The following is a 19,982-nucleotide window of genomic DNA, read 5'->3' as shown; positions in this document are numbered from 1 at the left end:
TATGTTGTACATAAAACATAGGTTGTATCTATGGAAACAAGTTTATTAAACTTATGAGTAATATTTAAACTAACAAAATTTTATCAGTATTTTTGCTTTAATTCAGATTTTTAAAAGACATCCTAAAACTAGGATGGAAACCATATCAAAATCACGACTGTACATTGTGAAAAACTGAAAACATCTAAATGTCCAATAATATAGATTGGTTAAATTACAGTGTATTTATATAATGGTTATCTATTTAAAATCATGCTTTATAGTAGTATTATACAGACATGGAAAAATGTTCAGCTACAGGTCAACTTGTCACGTTCGGTGACTACTACCTCCTTTAACCCTTTGGGTGTGTTGCAGCTTCCCAAGGTGGTTTACCGTACCTATTGGCTTTCTTTAATCCTACTTTTTTGGTAAATATTCCCTTCATTAAATGCTGTTCAGTCACCCCACTTTAGTGAATCATCTATTTCCGGCTAAGATCCTGAAAAAAGTTATTAACCATTAACACAGGTTAATGGTGAAATTAGACCATTACTCTGGTTGGTGGAATTATGATGAAATTACAGAGAAAACAACAAATGCCTGTTTTTTTTTTTTAAACAAGTAATACCATGATAGGTGCACTACACCTAATAATAGTGAGGGCTACCATTAATTAATTATTAGTGAGTTAGTTGTATATTGTGCTTTATAGATCACCTCCTTTAATCCTTTAAATAACTGTATAATAATTAACATCACCTCCAGTTAGACATGAGGAAACATTAAACATTTTTTATTGTCAATTAATATATTGTCATTGTTTTCTTTTATAGATCATTCCCGAGAAGTGTTGGAGCAATTAGTAGGCCCAAACAAACTAAAGCAAGTGACATGGACTGTTTATTGATGCTTTTTTGAAGATGATCAATGCTAGGAAAGCTTATCAAAACTACTTTCCCAGGAAACCATCTATAGAGATTTGCATTCTACTTAATGTTAACACTATTTTTAATTATTTTATTGTCTTAAGTTATAACTCTCAGAGAATTAGCTAAGTCTTGGTATATACATGGTTTGTGCTTTACTCTTAAACATCTTTAAAGTGCTATTATTCTATATCTGTTGGATGAGTCATTATTTTTGAAATGATAATCCTAGCATGAACTCTGATCTATGGTGTTGGATTCTGTTTCTTAAATAACTTTAAAATTAACTGTTTTCCCTTGAGATTTCCTTCTCCTATGTAGGTATTTGAGCTATTGTTCTAAGTTTACCTGTAAGTATAAACCTTGGGAGAATCTAAGTAAACATATTTCTAAAAGCATAGTTACCTTCCTATTTTCTGGCTCTTACCTTCTTGGAGTATTTAAATGCCCATTTGCCAAAAGCAGACCTGAACATCAAGCCTGTTAATTCTTCAAAGAATTTAGGTATTTGTTTCACCGAAATGAAGTGACTTATTAGCCATTCAGCGTATTAGTATTACAGAGGCTCTTGCCCAGCCACATCCATTCATTGATTTTTATGGCTACTCTTCCCAGTTACATTTTATGCATCTGTAAGCTTTCCTTCCTTAGCAAAATTGCATTCAAAAATGTGTAAAAATGAGTAAATACAGAATATCACTACAGAGACTTGTATCCTCAGGTTTATTGATTTCACATTGTGAAATAAACAGCAAAGGTCTTAGTTTTCAAGTGAAAACTTTTTGGTAATCACAAAATTACCTGACACATACCACGCTTAAACCAACCCCCAAATTTAGCATATTCATTTTGCCATGAGCCAGTCTTGAGATTTTCTTAAAAGATTTCTTATTTTGCCTCTGATGTAGTGAAAAACGGGGTAAGTATGCTAACTTTCTTGTATATGTTGGGGGGTACTTATTCAACTCCATTTCTTGTCCTTACAAGATTTATAAATGTGGTATGTTTATAGTGTGGATATATATGTTGCCACTGCAAAGGTGGTGCATATGTATATATGTGCAAAATGGGTAAGGCCTGTTCTAACTATGAAATTTTTCTAAAGACAAATTCAATAAAATTTAATACTGAATATTTAACCAAGTCAATCACATTTTCCCCTTTTTGCAGAAACTAGTTTCGACATCTAAATTGTGAGCTTCTTTGGGTCTATGAAGGATTTATCTTCCTAAAACAGTTTGCAGTTTGATATTTCTCCTTTTTTATGTTGCTAGCTGTATTAACTATTTCTCACCACTCTGTTTAAAATATCTGTACCCCATCCAGTACCCAGTATTCCCTATTACCCTTACTTCTTTTTCTCCTTACTACCTATCACCATCTGATGCCTGTTTTCATTTGTTCATTATGTCTCCCTACTCTAGAATACAAATTTCATAAGGACAAAGTATTTATCTTTTTTTTTCATTGCTGTATCCCCATATCCCCAGTGCCTAGAACAGTGCCTGGTATATAATAAGCACTCAAATATTCATTGAATAAGTAAATATGGAAAGAAATAAAGGAGGAAAGAAAGAAATACCCAGTAATACCCAGCCTGGCCAATGTAGCAAGACTCCATGTCTACAAAAAATACAAAATAAAAAAACTAGCCAGGCATCATGGTGGTGCATGCCTACAGTCCTAGCTACTAAGGAGGCTGAAGTGGGAGGATTACCTGAGCCTAGAAAGTCGAGGCTGCAGTGAGCACGGTCGCATTGCTGAACTCCAGCCTGGATGAGAGAGCAAGACCTGTCTAAAAACAAACAAAACAAAACACCCAACAACAACAACAAAAATTTCCAGTCTCTAGTCTGATTTATATTTTCTAATATAAAGAGATTGGAAGTCATCATTCCCATCCTCACAATAAGAAAAAAGCTCAATAAACTGAAAAGTCAACAACACTTAGATCCATTAGAGAATTAAGGTTAAAGAGAGAATGCCTCACAAATTAGAAACGCAAATACAAAGAACCATAGCTTACAGGGAGCAGAAGCCTGTTGCTGGAGCCAGTACCAATAGGAACATTTATGCTGTAATTCCTGAGTTGCTGGAGGCTCCATGTGGATGGACTTAAGAATCAAAAGCTCCAGCCTGGCACAGTGGCTCACACGTGTAATCCCAGCACTTGGGGAGGCTGAGGCAGGTGGATCACCTGAGGTCAGGAGTTCGAGACCAGCCTGGCCAACATGGCGAAGCCCTGTCTTTACTAAAAATACAAAAATTAGCTGGGCATGGTGGTGCATGCCTGTAATCCCAGCTGGGTTTGGTGGTGTATACCTGTAATCCCAGCTACTCAGGAGGCTGAGGCAGGAGAATCACTTTAACCCAGGAGGTGGAGGTTGCAGTGAGCCAAGATCACGCCATTGCACTCCAGCCTGGGCAATAAGAGTGAAACTCTGCCTCAAAAAAAAAAAAAAAAGAATCAAAAGCTCTAGGAATCTGTCCATAAACGTTATCTAACCAGGTGTGGCAACCCTGCAGTCACTCTGAACCTATTCTGCTTTTGGGAGCTGCCCAATTCACAGATTGTTCTTTGCTCAATTAAACTTTGTTAAATTAAAACAAACAAACTCCAGGGGGCCCACTCCTAGGGGAGACACCACACTTTCATAGTTTTACCTCCAGGATACCTACCAGGTTCTCAGGGTGAGGATCAGAGAAAAATCCCCTCTTCTGGTATGAGGATAGGGAAAGTAACCATTTTGAAATATGCCCAAGTGTTCAGTTCTCCTTAACAAAAGCCAGTTCTCAAGGGAAACTATTTTACCAGAGCCTCGTTGACCTGGGGGAAAGGAAGCACCCAACTCCAGCTGCCTCTAGCCTTCCTGTCTCACCAAAGTGACAAAAGAAAAGCTGAAAGCACTTGTGAAGGTCACAGCAGGGGCACAGGCTGACTTAACTGACTGAGACTTAATCACAGGACTATAGAACATACCTTCTCCCATACCTTATCACATCAGTTAGGCTACTGTATAATAACAGGGAATTACAGGTGAAAAAAACTGCAAGCTTCAGACTCTATATAAGAAGGAATCTCTAGGGAAACTCAAAGATAACAGAGGAGACAATAGCCAGGACACTAGAGGAAAATTTAGCCTGTAATATCTACTCTACAGCAAACAGTAGCCCTACCCAGATTTTAAAACCTCATGCTACCTTAGTTTACTTGTTTATTTATGCAATACATCATGTCTAGCTATCAACAAAAAATTACAAGGCATGCTAAAAGACAAAAAAACAGTCTGAAAAGAAAACAAGCATCAGAACCAGACTCAGTTATGGCAGACATTTTAGAATTACCAGATCATAAATTTAAAATAACTGATTAACATGCAAAGGGCTCTAATGCGAAAAGCATACAACACGCAAGAATGATGGGTGACGTAAGCAGAGATAGAAGCTATAAGAAAAAATCAAAAGGAAGTGATAGAAGTAAAAAACATCGTCAGGCTGGCGTGGTGGCTCACACCTGTAATCCTAGCACTTTGGGAGGCCAAGGCGGGTGGATCACCTGAGGTCAGGAGTTTGAGACCGGCCTGGCCAACATGGCAAAACCCCGTCTCTACTAAAAATACAAAAATTAGCCAGGCATGGTGGTGCACACCTAAAATCCCAGCTACTCTGGAGGCTGAGACAGGACAATCGCTTGATTGGGGGAGGTGGAGGCTACAGTGAGCCGAGACATGAGTCACTGCACTCCAGCCTGGACGACAGAGCTGAGACTCCATCTCAAAAAAAAAAAAAAGCCCAGAGTTCAAGGCTGCAGTGCCCAATGATTAAGCCTCTGAATAGCCACTGCATTCCAGCCTGGGAGCAAAGTGAGACTGTCTCTAAAAAAAGAAAAAATATATATATAGTCTTCTTCTGTTTTGTTTTGTTTGTTTAATTCAAAGTTACATCACAGTTGTCCTCGACTACAGAAACAGATCCAGCTACAATGTTTAATTCTTCTCCATTACTTAAATTAAATGCTGCCACCATTGAGTATGGCATTGTATAATCATATTCCTTCAGCGGTTAAAATAGAAAAAAAAATGCAGATAGAGATGTGTATAATTGGCATGCATAGAAATACAGAACCAGTTACATGACAAAAGTAAACAAAACTCTAAACCTTCATATTTTAAAAACAAGATTTTCCATTTAACAAGAATTACATTCATTAAACTGGAGAGTATCTCCTATAGAGAAAACTTTTAGAGTCAGATCCAAACATTACTATATTCATACTTGGAAGCACTTTGACAACTCAAGGCTGAAAACCCCACACTGTGCTTGTTGTCAGTCCACTGTTTTCCTGCCTAGTAGACTCCAAAAGTGAATATTCTACCACTTTGTGCAGGTGATGCTGAATGCTGTGTCCACTGAACTGGGGCCGCCCAGGGTCACCAATCAGTACTCGAGTTCTATAGGTCCAGAAGCACTTCTTCAGCCACTGATGAAGACTATCTGCAAGGTCTTCATCATAAAACATATCGCCAAGAACAACAAGGTCCCACTTATCTTGTTCCAAATTCAAAATGTTTTGGATTAAAATAGGAAAAGGATTCAGTCTGTTCAATTCACAATTTAGTGTAATAGCCATTCCTGCAACTTAAAAAAAAAAAAAGCACAAAATGAATTGGTATATGCTAGGCTGTTATAATTCCATGTTGATTAAATAATTTAGAAGATCTGCTAACAATATATTTTTCTTCCTTTTTGATGAAAGTTGTTTTTTAAAGTAGAGAAGTATAAAGGTTATCCCAATATAAGCTATACCACAATTTCCAAATACATGACTGGATATCCTGAAAACAAACAATTCAAAACACCTAGAAATGCTGGGACTTTTAGGAATATTTGCTGATTTCATTAACCAAAAGATTTTGTTTTTTTACTGTGGACAGGGAAACGAGACTTGGGCTTGATTGAGCATGGCAATAAATTAGAACTGAGACCCCTTGGCTGGGCGCAGTGGCTCACGCCTATAATCCCAGTACTTTGGGAGGCCGAGGCGGGTGGATCACCTGAGGTCAGGAGTTCAAGACCAGCCTGGCCAACATGGTCAAACCCTGTCTCTAATAAAAATACAAAAATTAGCTGGGCATGGTGGTGCATGCCTGTAATCCCAGCTACTCGGGAGGCTGAGGCAGGAGAATCACTTGAACCCACGAGGTGGAGGTTGCAGTGAGCCAAGACCGTGCCACTGCACTCCAGCCTGGGCAATAGAGTGAGACTCTGTATCAAAAAAAAAAAAAGAAAAAAAAAGAACTGAGACTCCTTTATAAAATAAAGGTTTTCAGCCAGGCGCGGTGGCTCATGCCTGTAATCCTAGCACTTTGGGAGGCCAAGACGGGCAGATCACGAGGTCAGGAGATTGAGACCATCCTGAATAACACGGTGAAACCCCATCTCTACTAAAAATGCAAAAAAAAAAAAATTAGCCAGGCATGGTGGCAGGCACCTATAGTCCCAGCTACTCAGGAGGCTGAGGCAGGAGAATGGTGTGAACCCGGGAGGCGGAGCTTGCAGTGAGCTGAGATTGTGCTACTGCACTCCAGCCTGGGTGACAGAGGGAGACTCTGTCTCAAAATAAATAAATAAATAAAATAAAATAAAGGTTTTCAAGGACTATATTCTCAGTGAAAGGGTAGACCAGAAGAAAATCAGATCAAATAAAAACTTACCTGTCTCAGCCTGGGTTCTAATGGAATAAAAATAACCCTCAAAGACAGGTCAATACTCACTTGGGTTTGGGGTCAAATAAACACTATTTACATATTTCAGGAAATTCCTAGCCCATAAATTAACATAAGTGCTTACTCTGGATGTCTGGCAGACACAAATCCTCTTGGGAAAAATGCACCATCTACTCAGACCTCAGGGGATTCCTACAGATAATGTCCCAGTGCACAGAGATTCACAATGTCCAATCACAAAATACATATAACGATAAGCTACCACACTGAGCATGTGTACATATTTATCCCAGAGAAAAAAAAAAGATGAGCCTTAAATATTTTAAAATATGAATCCTTACTAGGGTCTATGTCATTGGCCAAGATCCTTGATGCCCCACTCATCTTAGCAGCAATAGCTGTAGCTCCACATCCACTCCCAAGATCTAATACAGATTTTCCTCTGACAACATCAGGATTATCCAAAAGATACCTAAATTAAAAAGGAGAAACATGTCTCAGAGAGATGAGGAAAAATAAATGTTGGGAACAGGCCCCCCAAAATCTGGCCATAAACTGGCCCCAAAACTGGCTATAAACAAAATCTCTGCAGCACTGTGACATGTTCATGATGGCCATAACACCCACGCTGGAAGGCTGTGGGTTTACCGGAATGAGGGCAAGGAACACCTGGCCTGCCCAGGGCAGAGAACTGCTTAAAGGCGTTCTTAAACCACAAACAATAGCATGGGCGATCTGTGCCTTAAGGACATGCTCCTGCTGCAGATAACTAACCCAACCCATCCCTTTATTTCAGCCCATCCCTTCATTTCCCATAAGGGATACTTTTAGTTAATCTAATATCTATAGAAACAATGCTAATGACTGGCTTGCTGTTAATAAACATGTGGGTAAATCTCTGTTCGGGGCTCTCAGGTCTGAAGGCTGTGAGACGCCTGATTTCCCACTTCACACCTCTACATTTCTGTGTGTGTATCTTTAATTCCTCTAGTGTCACTGGGTTAGGGTCTCCCCAGCCGAGCTGGTCTCAGCAAATAAGAGGTATGCAAAAAAAGAAAAAAGAAAAGAAAAGGAAAAGAAAGAAAAGAGATGTCTTTAGGTTGACTGGACAAAAGAAATAGTGAAAAGTAGCAGAACTTGGTCCAACCTTGGCAAGTTTGGTCTGACTAGAGTGACACAAAAAGTCCATCTCCAGAGCTGGGCAGAGGTGGCAGAAGAAAGGACCTAGTCATTTGGTCTTTCTCTTCAGCAGGTGTGAAGCACAGTACCACACAACTGACTGATTATGCTATTCAAGTCAATTTTTTTCAAAAAAAAGTTGTAGGCTGGGCACAGTGGCTCCTGCCTGTAATCCCAGCACTTTGGGAGGCTGAGCAGGTGGATCACCTGAGGTCAGGAGTTCGAGACCAGTCTGGCCAACATGGTGAAATCCCATCTCTACTAAAAATACAAAAATTAGCCAGGTGTGGTGGCGGGCACCTGCAATCCCAGCTACTCGGGAGGCTGAGGCAGGAGAATTGCTTGAACCCAGGAGGCAGAGGCTGCAGTGAGTAGAGATCAAGCCATTGCACTCCAGCCTGGGTGACAGAGTAAGACTCTGTCTCAAAAAAAAAAAAAAAGAAAGAAAGAAAAGAAATGTATAAATGGCCAGGTGTGGTGGCTCACGCCTGTAATCCCAGCACTTTAGGAGGCAAGGTGGGTGGATCACCTGAGGTCAGGAGTTCGAGACCAGCCTGGCCAACAGGGTGAAACCCCGTCTCTACTAAAAATACAAAATTAGCCAGGCGTGGTGGTACATGCCTGTAATCCCAGCTACTCGGGAGGCTGAGGCAGAGAATCGTTTGAACCCGGGAGGGGAAGGCTGCAGTCTGCCAAGATTGTGCCATTGCACTCCAGCCTGGGCAACAAGAGCAAAACTCCATCTCAAAAAAAAAAAAAAAAAGAAAGAAAAAGAAATGTATAAATACTGTGCCTCCTAAAAACCTCTTAGAAGAGCACAGGCCACAAACTTTTCTGTGACTTGCATTTTTCTTGGGCTTAACAAACCTTGACTGGTTGAGACTCATGCCTCAGTCTCTCATTTCGGCTGACAAAGTATTGAATACTTAGTATGTTCCAGAAACTACCGAGCACCACGAATTAAGACTGACAAAATACTGCTAAAACAAAGACTAAAATTAGTAAACTCAATCCAAGAGTCACTGTCTCCTCTTGACTCCATCATAGAGTGATTTTCCTGCTGCTTGAAATGTAGTATAATGACCTCTCTGGTAAAACTCAAAGTCCAATTCAACCAAGGAATTTGGACTGGAGCTAAATAGTTACCAAACAAGCGAAGAGGGATGGAGAAACGCTGAAATAACAAATTTCAGCTGACTCTTGATCTTCGGATTGGAGTAATAAGGAACAGTGGGTACTACTGAGGCAGGAGAATGGCAGAGGAAGTCAGGGGTGAAGGGGACCCGTTGGACATAGGCTAGCTGAAGCAATACCAAAAGCAAAGCATACAAGATAGCAGAAACAGGACATATGAAATAAGACAGTAAGCAGTAAGAGATACGGGAGTAAGCAATGAGTTAGAACATGCAAGATAAGGAAAATAAGTGGAAAGGGGTTGCAGTAGCAATTTGGTTACAAGAACTAAAAGTAAAGATGAGCAATTTTGTCAGAAAAGATAAAATAAGGTTAAGCAAGGATGCACAATTAGCTTATGAGAAATAAAGTGCGGTTTAGGCACAATGAGGGAAAGGCCAGGATGAGCAATTCACTTACGAAAAACAAAGTAAGGTTAAGCAAGTGAGGAAAAAACATATAAAAGGCCATGAACTATAACAAACTGGGGCTGATACCACTCGCAGGTCAGCCTGATCCGTTGCTGATTGCATTCTGCTTAACAAACTGTTTGCTGCCTTGCTACTTGTATGTGTCATGTCCAATTCTTTGTTGATGGCACTAAGAACCTGGGACTTGACATCAACCAGTTAACACTATGGCAAAGTAGAGGCATACATGCCCTGTCTAAATAGCTGCTACTGCCAGGCACGATGGCTCATGCCTGTAATCCCAGCACTTTGGGAGGCCGAGGCTGGCGGATCACTTGAGGTCAGGGGTTCGAGACCAGCCTGGTCAACATGGTGAAACCCTGTCTCTACTAAAAATACAAAATTAAGCCAGGCGCGGTGGCTCACGCCTGTAATCCCAGCACTTTGGGAGGCCGAGGAGGGCGGATCACGAGGTCAGAAGTTCGAGACCAGCCTGATCAACATGGTGAAACCCCATCTCTACTAAAAATACAAAAATTAGCCGGGCATGGTGGCATGAGCCTGTAGTCCCAGCTACTCAGGAGGGTGAGGCAGGAGAATGGCGTGAACCCGGGAGGCGGGGCTTGCAGTGAGCCGAGATCACACCACTGCACTCCAGCCTGGGTGACAGAGTGAGACTCTGTCTCAAAAAAAAAAAAAATTTTTTTTTGTAGAGATAGGGGTATCACTATGTTGCCTACGCTGGTCTCAAACTCTTGACTTCAAGCTGTCCTCCTGCACTGGCTTCCTAAAGCACTGGGATTACAGGCACTGCACCCAACAGAAGAGGGAAACTTTGAACAGCCCACTCACTCACAGCTCCTGTTTTATGGGAAAATAAGCAACTCTGGAAGGAATGTGAGGTTTATGGAGCGACATTCACTGAATTAAAGGAGAGCGAAAGGACTGGGTGTTTAGCTTCCATCTAGGAACTCTGCAATGGTCATGCGCTATGAACTATGAACCTCCTAACAGGTGAGATTTCTGGATCACTTATAGCTATCCAGGGTCTTGACAGCTGACTCTAGGATTTCTCTTGGGGAGACAGTTACTTGGGAAAATAGCTTGATAAGCTTGGGTTAGAATGGGAAATTACGCAACAAGGCAACAAAAAATATGGCTAACCTGAGGCTAGGCTCAGAGGCTCATGTCTGTAATACCAGCACTTGGGGAGGTTGAGGAGGCCAGATGTTTAAGACCAGCCTGGACAACATAGCAAGATCCTGTCTCTACCAAAAAAAAAAAAAAAAAAGAAAGAAAGAAAAAAGAAAACAACAAGACTGAGTTTTGCCGGTTTCTGTTTTGTTTTTGAGACAGGCCAGGCGAGAGTGCAGTGGCAGGATCACAGCTTACAGCCTCAGCCTCCCAAAGTACTGAGACTACAGGCATGAGCCACCACGCCTAGCATTGCTCTGGTTTTTTGTAGAGGTTGGAGGGAACTGAAAACAGCAAAGATCTGTAGCGCCTTAAAGGTTTCATTAGGGTAGTACCTAGACAGGGCTTGGCCTCCTGGCCAGTAGATTGCCCAGTAAGGATCACTGTGGGGCCACAGGTCAGCTCTCTCCCACCAGAATTTGCATCTGGGGGTCAAAAGCCGCAACTGGATTTCAGGGGTGAGGCTACCACTGCTGGTGACTTCAGTGTTCTCCTCCAGGAAAGCCTTTATCTCAGGGTCCAAAAAGCTTCCAGCTCCTCTCCAGGGACACTGGCCACAGGGAAACAAGAGAAGACCACTGCTTCGCAGAGCCTGCAAGAGGAGACCACAGTGGTTCCTGTGTGCTTTCCAACCTAGACTCAAAGCCATCAGTCCTTTCCCCAAACACAGGTTCTGTCAATGTTCTGTTGATAATAGCTGCTTCTCAAGGAGAATGAACAAGGGTGTGTCTCCCAACTTGATCTCAACCGGAACCTCTGACTCTGAAAAAAAAAAGAAAAGTAATACTGAGAATTCTGAGGAAGAGCAACATTTCTAGATCCTATTACATAATAAGAAAATATTGGCCGGGCGCGGTGGCTCACGCCTGTAATCCCTGCACTTTGGGAGGCCAAGGCGGGTGGATCACGAGGTCAGGTGTTCAAGACCAGTGTGGCCATCATGGTGAAACCCTGTCTCTACTAAAAATACAAAAAATTAGCCAGGCGTGGTGGCGGGTACCTGTAATCTCACTACTTGAGAATTGCTTGAACCCGGGAGGCGGAGGTTGCAGTGTGCCGAGATCGCACCATTGCATTCCAGCCTGGGCAACAAGAGCAAAACTCCGTCTCATAAAAAAAAAAAAGAAATAAAATATTACAGTGTATATTACTGTATCTGATGATTCACATGTGCAAGTTCATTTCAGATGAAAGCTTTGGTGCATCAATTGGGAAAATCCAATCTTTTTAAATGATACTTTTCACAAGAGAATCCTTTTAGTAATTTAACACAACAAATATACAAGCATTTGATTTTGAAAGAATCCTCAAGAAAATGCCTCTTACAGGAAATCAGCCATACAGTCATCCTTCAGTATCCTCAAGTGATTGGTTCCGGTATCCCCTGCTTCCAGGATACCACAATCAGAGGATACTCAAGTCCCTTATATAAAATGGCATCATATTTGTATATAAACTAGGCATATGCTGTGGTATACTTTACTTTAAATCATCTCTGGATGACTCATAATACTTAATACAACGTAAATGCTATATAAGTAGTTGTTACACTATTTTTGTGTTATTTTTATTGTTGTAATTTTATATTGCTATATTGTTATATTGTGGGCCAACTGTACCTTTAAAGTTCTTTCATAAATTTAACAAAGTAGGCATGCTTGGTAACTGTGAACAAAATAACAGAAGTCTTCTGTCTTCAGGAAGCTTATATTCTAGTGGTGGGATAAAGCAGTTAACAGGGCAAACACAGTTTTTGCCTTTATGAAGTCTAGCCAAGAGTTCTGGGGGTTAATGAATTTATAATTGTCTGTGGGCAGAGATATATTAATACAAATTATATTGACTACTCTATTTCATTAAAGATTGTTGTATCATAAAACAATGCAATCAAGATTCAGGTTTTTTCCTTTAAAAATACTGTATGCATTTAATTGTAATAAAAGAACATCAACTCCTAAATCTCTTTCTGTAAAAGTATCTGATGGTTCGATTTTACCAAGCCTAAACTGAAAAGATTTGCTCCAACAGAAAAACACCTGTGCAATTGATCACTAAGATTTGTTTAAAAATATATATATATAGAAAAACACCCGGATTAGAATAAATGAGAATGAGGAACAACTTAAACACAACTTATACACCCAGTTGTTTGGGGACCTCGGATCTCTTCTGCATAAATGTTTTAAATGGTCTTAAATCCACTAAAGTATTTAGGGGTCAAAAATCCAAATCCCCACAAGGGGCTGGACATCATAAATGAGTGATGCAGGCTGGCTGTAAAATAACAGAGGGGCTGTGGCAAGCTGGAGACTGTTTTCAAACAGTTCAAAAAGGCTAGGCAGGACATGCTGCCAGATCCTCCGATTTCTCAAAATCATCAAAAAAATCTAGATATTGACACATTAGCTTCCACCTTTTTTTTTTTTTTTTTTTTTTTTTTTGAGACAGAGTCTCTGTTGCCCAGGCTGGAGTGCAGTGGCGTGATCTCGGCTCACTGCAACCTCCGACTCCCAGGTTCAAGCGATTCTCCTACCTCAGCCTCCCGAGTCCTGGGATTACAGGGGCGTGCCACCACGCCCGGCTAATTTTTGTATTTTTTTTTTTTTTTTTTTTTTTAGTAGAGACGAGGTTTCGCCATGTTGGCCAGACTGGTCTGGAACTCCTGACCTGAAGCGATCCTCCTGCCTCGACCTCCCAAAGTGCTGGGATTACAGGCGCGAGCCACCACGCCCGGCCAGCTTCGGCTTGTAAACATCAGCAACTCATTCAAATATCAAAACACAGGGCAGGTCAAAATGCATGTCAGGTCATACATAGCCTGTGAACTCAGCGTAGACTTCCAGTGGGTGTTAGTTACCCCACATCAGTGTCCTGGGATCGTAGGGGTCTCTCAGGGCCTGGTATCCCACTAGACTAATTGTTAAGCAGTACTAGGCTGTCACTTGAATCACACAACGCAGCCTAAGTTTAAAGGTAACGCAGAGCAAATAGAGATTATTTGGGATTTGGACCCCATGTCATTTAGATCGGCGCTTCCCTCTCCCGTCCCAGCACCGATGAGGCATGGGTTATGAAGTATGTGACTGTGGTGACCACTTGGTATTTCTCTTAATGAGAAGGAGAGCTGATGGGATGAAAAGAGTTACGTTCCACAACGGGTAGACGGCGGCGTCATTTTCCTCCAGAGGCGGGGTGGAGTCGATCTTAAAGGGGCAGGCACCGTCCTCCCTGTCTCCTTACCTAGCTTTGCTGACACCGCCCTCGGAAGTAAAGCATAGGGCTCGCCTGTCACTCGCCCTGGCGACTGTTCCCGCTCATGCTTTACATTTCCGGGGTCCCGCTACCAAAACTGAGCCACGCTCTAGCAGAGCGCCGCGGCCCGGCAGGGGGCGGGACGGACGGCGGCCCCTCGCGGCCCCGCCCTTTTTCCCAGCAGCGCTTTCTTTCTCCTCCACTTTCTTAAAGGGACAGAAGCGCGAAACCAAAGGGCGCCCTGACCTCACCTGGAAAATAAGGGAACGTTAAATCTGTGTGCAATGTTTGTAGAATTTTGATTCCTAAAAAGTTCATTCTGAAACTATGCAACACCTACTATGTGCCAGTCGCACTTCCAGGCACCGGGCATAGAGTGGTGAGCAAAATAGACACCGTATATTTAAAAAAAAAAAAAAAAAAAGACACAGTATAAGCCCTCTGTGCTGCCTACATTCAACTGCGATTAAATCATAATGAATGTCCTTTCTTTTCTAATAATTCATAAATTCACTAGCAATTTATTTGCAGCCTATATCACTCGAGTCTGGATCTACATATATCCACCTTTCAACTGGACCCACATCCCACTGGCCCCTCAACTCAACACTCAAAGTTAACTCACCATCTGACCTGACAACAATTAAAACCTGCTCTGGCGTGCTAGAGGGGGGAAAACGGTCCAAAACTAAGAAACAGGAAAATCGTGTTTCTGCATTTTAGTTTGCAGTTTGAGAAATGCACTGGCACCTGCCTGTTCAAAATTAGAATTTGTCGCTTGGGTTCTGCGCTCCTGCCATGGGTGTGACAGCTTTCTGTCTTTCCATGTAAACTGGAATCTTTAGGAACTACTACAAGGAAAGGAAACTTTGTGCTTCCAGTCAACAGCCCCAGATGCAGCCTTATCATTTCTTTCTTAGTTGAATGGTGTATTTGCTACATTCTTGTTGATAAGCTATACACCTTGCATTTCACAGTATTCTGCCTTAGATTTCCTGTGTAATAACTGATATAATGTGTTTATGAACTGCATTCATCCACTTATGAGCTGCTTTTTTCTTAATTAGTTGCTGATGTAAACGCTTGTTTTCTCAACTATAACTTTTCATTACCACACACTCTCCGATTCTCCTGCTAGCAGTGAACCTTGATCCATGTTCAAGATCAATTTCTATAAGAAATATTGTTTTTAACCAGCTTCGGTGTTCTATCCCAATTAATAGTTTGAACATCCCAGTCACTGCCCAAGAAACCAGAACGAACAGGCTAACCTAACATTTTTACAAAAGAGGGTTGGTTCCTGGAAAAAAGCTTGGTAGTCATCACTGAAGATGCATTTAATAATGTTTGGATAACTCATTCAAAACTTGCAACTTGGCTGAAGGGACTGCAACATGCCTTTCCTGTCCCATAATGGATTTAAAACTGGTCCAGTTCTTTCTATCCCTCCTGCCATTGCCTTAGTTTGGCATTATAATGGCTTGCCTGGGTTCCTATAACTTGTCTATCTCTAATTCTGCCTTCCTTAAAACTATTCTTTTTTTTTTTTTTTTTTTTTTGAGATGAAGTCTTGCTCTGTCGCCCAGGCTGGAGTGCAGTGGCATGATCTCGGCTCATTGTAACCTCTGCCTCCTGGGTTCAAGCCATTCTCCTGCCTCAGCTTCCCCAGTAGCTGGGATTATAGGCGCACACCACCACACCCAGCTAATTTTTGTGTTTTTAGTAGAGACGGGGTTTCACCATGTTGGTCAGGCTGGTGCCCAACTTTTGACCTCGTGATCCGCCCACCTCGGCCTCCCAAAGTGTTGGGATTACAGGTGTGAGCCACTGCGACCGGCCAAGATTATTCTTTATATTGCAGCTTAAATGATTTTTTTCTGAAACTTAGATTCCATAGTCTAGAAAAGGCCTGCCCTTCCTTTAGTCCCAGACAAAGCATGAAAAACAGGGATATATGGATTTTCTTTTCTGTTGTTTGGTGTTGATGCATTGTAATGTCTTAATAGAAAGGACCGTCTAGATTTTAACAAAATTGACCCACATACATCCAAGCAGACTTGTGAACTGATAACAATTTGAGCTGTTGTCTATCCTTGTGATTTTTTTACTTTAAATACCTGCCCTACATTTTTGTTTACAAAGCCAGTTCTCTAATAATCGGTCCCTCTTGCAGGTGCAAGTAAAAAATTCTATTCCCTACACAACTTTGTCTTTAAGGGTTTTTTGGTTTTTCAACAAGTTATTCAATTACACTTATTAACTGTATGATCTTGGACACATTGCTAAACCTTCTTAATAATCAGTTTCTTCATCTGTAAAATAGTGATGATAGTAATAATGTTTTAGGAAGATTTAATAAGATAAAAGCACATCTTGTTTAGCCCAGTTCCTGGCATGTAGTAAATGCTTGCTAAGTATGCTATTACAGTGATGATCATTATTAGAAACACAGAGATAGTGTTGATGAGCAGCAGATCAGGTTTTCAGTTAAAGGTGAGAGGATCAAACTTGAATTTTAGAAAAATGTTTTATGCTGCAGGTAGCAAAGAGTTAAAGGCGGGGCAAGACTGAAGACAAGGAAACCGCCATTGGAGGATATTATGGTAATCCAAGCAAACAATAATGGAGACAGAACTAAGGTAACTGCGATAGGGATGGAAAGAATTGGAACATTTGAAAATGATTAAGGATGAGCTATTAGCAGGACTTGGAGACTAATTAAATACACTCGTTTAACCGTAATGCTAGCCAATCTAAGGGCAAGATGGTTTCTCTTGCTCCACTCGATTGGCCTGTGCTGTTCATCAGCAGGCTATCTGTGTTCTCCCTTGCTTAAAACCTGCTCTAGCTCCCCAGACCTTCAATGGTACAGCCGGATTCCTGACCACAGCTTTCCTGGCCCATGCTGATCAGTCCCGACTTAACCTATCCTGCCTCTTTTCAAAACACTCCTCTTCTCCCCTCTCTGCTGCAATTTGTTTTCCTCCCACAGCGCCTTGTTCTCTCATCCCTAGGCCTTGTTGAAGACAGAAAGCTGCCACTGCTAACCGCTCCTCACTGTCCAAACCACCTACTCGTCCTTCAGAACTCAGTTCAACGTTAAGGTCCTCTGAAAAGCCTTCCCCAACATGCCAGCCTACACGCTAATCTTCCTATTTTCTTAGCTTCCTATGGGCATGTACAACAAGCATATCAAGCAGAACCGTCACTGCCTAGACTTGAAAGCAGACCATGTCATACCTCTTTTAGCCTCTGGCACAGACACTCAATAAACTCTGTTAAATGAAAGAAAAGGCAAATAAATACATGAGTAAAATAACAAACATTACATATCAGTATCTCATTTAAAAAATTTACTTTTAACAGCTTTATTGAGGTATATTTGACTTCACATTGGCAACTTTGCATGTTTACAGAGTACAGTCTAATGTCCTGACATATGTATTGTCAACCCAAATGAGAGACTGAGGCAAGAATCTCAATCAATCCAGGTTTATTGAGCCAGAGCTTAAAGGTGTGCCCAGGAAAACCCTGAGTCACAGAAACATGAGTCTGTGGCCCGTGCTCCTTGGGAAAGGCTTCAGGAGACTCGGTATTTACACATTGCTTTAAGAGAAAAGACATGCAGGAAAAGGGAGATAGGCGTGAAGCAAATGATGACATTCTTGTGAGATTTTAATTAGTGCCCAGTACATCTATGCTATACATGAGATAAGGCAAACATTCGAAAATAGGGAGTAAAGGAAGAATTCATTATTCAGACTTCTCAGGATAGGTAGAAGAATAATGGATGTCATCTTTGTTTTTGCACTTGGGAAGATAAGGCTTATAATTGACACAGTCGGTGTGAAATTTACCAGACTTTAGGTTCCTGGACAAGGAGTTAGACTTAAGTCACAGACTTAAAGTGACAGTTGACATGTCCTTGTTTATGGGAGGATTTATTATACACCTTGAAAGGTTTAGGAGCCAGGAAAGAATTTTCTTAGGCGCGATTTGTGAGGGCAGTTATCTGGAAATGCCTGAGACCTTTTCCTTTTGTAGGGATCTGGCTAATGTATAGCGCTTTGACACAAGGTTGTGAAGTAAGCAGGCTTAATTTTCCCTTTGGCATAATGAGTTTGGGGGTTTTGAGAGTTTTTATGTTCCTTTACAGTATATACTCATGAAACCATCACCAAAATCAAGATAGTGAATATATTCAGTGCTCCTGTGTAATTCCTCCCTCCAGTTCTTCCCCTACTTTTTTTTTTTTATCTTTTTGTTCTGTTTTTTTGTTTGTTTGTTTGTTTCATGAGACAGAGTCTCACTCTGTCGCCCAGGCTGGAGTGCAGTGGCGCGATCTTGGCTCACTGCAACCTTCTCCTCCCGGGTTCAAGCAATTCTCATGCCTCAGCCTCCCGAGTACCTGGGATTACAGGCGTGAACCACCACACCTGGCTAATTTTTATATTTTTAGTAGAGACAGCGTTTCACCATGTTAGCCAGGCTGGTCTCTAATTCCTGACCTCAAGTGATCTGCCCACCTCAGCCTCCCGAAGTGCTGGGTTTACAGGCATGAGCCACGGCACCCGTCCAGTCCTTCTCCCTTCTACCACAACCATTCTTGGCTTTCTGTCGCTACAGATTACTTTGCTTTTTCTAGATTTTCATATGCATGCAATTGTATAGAGTTTATACGGTTTTTGTCTTATTTCTTTCATTAGTAATTATTTTTATTCATCCATGTTTCCTGCATCAATAATTCATTCCTTTATATTGCTAAGTAGTGTTTCATTGTACATATAGATAAGCTCCCATGTTTATCCATTTACATGTTGATGAACATTTGAGTTCTTTCTTTCTTTTACTATTACAAATAAAGCTGTTTTGAACATTTGTGTACAAGTCTTTGTACAGACTTAGGCTTTCTTTCCTTTGCATAAATACCTAGGAGTGCAATGGCTAGATCATATGGTAGGTGTATGATTAACTGCAAACTTTTTCTAAAATGGTTGTGCCTGCTGGGCACCATGGCTCATGCCTGTAATCCCAGCACTTTGGGAGGCCAAGGTGGGAGGATCACCTGAGGTCAGGAGTTCAAGAACAGCCTGGCCAACATGGTGAAACCGTGTCTCTACTAAAAATACAAAAATTAGTCGGACATGGTGGCGTGTGCCTGTAATCCCAGTTACTCAGGAGGCTGAGACAGAAGAATCACTTGAACCCGGGAGGTGGAGGTTGCAGTGAGCTGAGATCGTGCAACCACACTCCAGCCTGGACGACAGGGTGAGGCTCTGTCTCAGAAATAAAATAAAACAAAATAGTTGTGTCATTTTACATTTCCACCATCATTGTATGAGATCTCCAATTGCTCCACATCCTAGCCAACACTTGCTATTATTTGTCTTCTTTATTTTTTTTGAGACAGAGTTTCACTCTGTCACCCAGGATGGAGTGCAGTAGCGCTATCTCAGCTCACTGCAACCTCTGCCTCCCAGGTTCAAGTGATTCTCCCACCTCAGCCTCCCCAATAGCTGGGATTACAGGCACCCGCCACCACACCCAGCTAATTTTTTGTATTTTCAGTAGAGACAGGTTTCGCCATGTTGGCCAGGCTGGTCTCAAACTTCTGGCCTCAAGTGATCCACCCACTTCGGCCTCCCAAAGTGCTGGGATTACAGGCCTGAGCCACCGCACCCGGCCTCTCCCTAGACTTTTGAAGGAAGTTTGTAGTTTTGGGTTTTCTGGAGCTTCAGCTTCCTTCTAGCTTCTCTCTACCAAACTGCCCTTGCAACAAATCTATGGGCACCGTGTCTGTGTAAATTTGTGTGTTTCCTTTTTTCAATTCCCTATCTGCAGTTTGTACTTGTTGCTCCCTCAGTTAGTAACCGGGCAAACTTTTAAGCATAGGTCACTGAGTCACACCTAAACATCCGACAACTGACACTAGAATCCTCACTCCCTGCAAAACCCAGAAATCTTCAGCTAACTAAGACTGTGGTGCCATCTACTGATAATTTAGCTTAACATCGGCCAAGTGTGCTTCAGCTAAAACAGTAAAAGCAAAAACAAAACTGAAACTTAAACAGTTATGTATAAAGAGCAAAGATTCTCACCCACAATGTTACTACACACTGGTACCTTTTTTTTTTTTTTTT

The 19,982-nt window shown here is 41.5% G+C and overlaps 2 protein-coding genes across 13 annotated transcripts in view, besides 6 other annotated features; one reads left to right on the top strand and one right to left on the bottom strand.

The window, feature by feature from the left end:
- AMN1 (antagonist of mitotic exit network 1 homolog) overlaps nucleotides 1-2,056 on the top strand; it is a 58,038-nt gene extending 55,982 nt beyond the window's left edge. For 4 of the 7 annotated variants that reach the window (NR_103522.2, NM_001278411.2, NM_001113402.2 and 1 more), the window contains one exon: nucleotides 816-2,051. Coding sequence is in view for 5 of the 7 variants with exons in the window: in NM_001278411.2 (NP_001265340.1) it covers nucleotides 816-889 (74 nt within the window). In the remaining 2 variants the exon portion in view is untranslated. Of the gene's footprint in view, nucleotides 1-815 lie in introns of all 7 variants that reach the window. The other 3 variants (NR_103523.1, XM_017018965.3, XM_006719054.4) reach the window with 1 other exon arrangement.
- The window catches only part of ETFBKMT (electron transfer flavoprotein subunit beta lysine methyltransferase), a 25,955-nt gene continuing 6,051 nt past the window's right edge, over nucleotides 79-19,982 (bottom strand). Inside the window, exons 1-4 of one of the 6 annotated variants that reach the window (NM_173802.4) lie at nucleotides 13,831-13,990; nucleotides 10,926-11,352; nucleotides 6,976-7,106; nucleotides 79-5,546 (exon numbers count right to left, since the gene is read on the bottom strand). In NM_173802.4, the coding sequence (NP_776163.1) occupies nucleotides 5,203-5,546; nucleotides 6,976-7,106; nucleotides 10,926-11,239 (789 nt within the window). In that variant the 5' untranslated portion in view covers nucleotides 11,240-11,352; nucleotides 13,831-13,990 and the 3' untranslated portion in view covers nucleotides 79-5,202. Of the gene's footprint in view, nucleotides 5,547-6,975; nucleotides 7,107-10,925; nucleotides 11,353-12,209; nucleotides 13,506-13,830; nucleotides 13,991-19,982 lie in introns of those variants that run through there. The other 5 variants (XM_024448925.2, XM_024448924.2, XM_024448923.2 and 2 more) reach the window with 5 other exon arrangements.
- Nucleotides 10,991-11,110: an enhancer, noted in NCBI's record as "active region_6172". NCBI's record gives its function as "activates an Ori minimal core promoter by ATAC-STARR-seq in GM12878 lymphoblastoid cells {active_cell/tissue: GM12878}" and the evidence as "EXISTENCE:reporter gene assay evidence [ECO:0000049][PMID:35858748]".
- Nucleotides 13,558-13,717: an enhancer, noted in NCBI's record as "active region_6171". NCBI's record gives its function as "activates an Ori minimal core promoter by ATAC-STARR-seq in GM12878 lymphoblastoid cells {active_cell/tissue: GM12878}" and the evidence as "EXISTENCE:reporter gene assay evidence [ECO:0000049][PMID:35858748]".
- Nucleotides 13,558-14,147: a biological region, named in NCBI's record as "H3K27ac hESC enhancer GRCh37_chr12:31811991-31812492".
- Nucleotides 13,635-14,136: an enhancer, noted in NCBI's record as "H3K27ac hESC enhancer chr12:31811991-31812492 (GRCh37/hg19 assembly coordinates)". NCBI's record gives its function as "activates a minimal SCP1, AML or CMV promoter by ChIP-STARR-seq in primed H9 embryonic stem cells {active_cell/tissue: H9 hESC(primed)}" and the evidence as "EXISTENCE:reporter gene assay evidence [ECO:0000049][PMID:30033119]".
- Nucleotides 13,838-14,147: a silencer, noted in NCBI's record as "silent region_4327". NCBI's record gives its function as "represses an Ori minimal core promoter by ATAC-STARR-seq in GM12878 lymphoblastoid cells {active_cell/tissue: GM12878}" and the evidence as "EXISTENCE:reporter gene assay evidence [ECO:0000049][PMID:35858748]".
- Nucleotides 19,746-19,955: an enhancer, noted in NCBI's record as "active region_6170". NCBI's record gives its function as "activates an Ori minimal core promoter by ATAC-STARR-seq in GM12878 lymphoblastoid cells {active_cell/tissue: GM12878}" and the evidence as "EXISTENCE:reporter gene assay evidence [ECO:0000049][PMID:35858748]".

Source organism: Homo sapiens, chromosome 12 (genome assembly GCF_000001405.40).
Source record: "Homo sapiens chromosome 12, GRCh38.p14 Primary Assembly".
NCBI classification, from domain to species: domain Eukaryota; kingdom Metazoa; phylum Chordata; class Mammalia; order Primates; family Hominidae; genus Homo; species Homo sapiens.
Note: the sequence above shows the minus strand (reverse complement) of the source record. Positions and strands in the feature narration are given on the sequence as shown.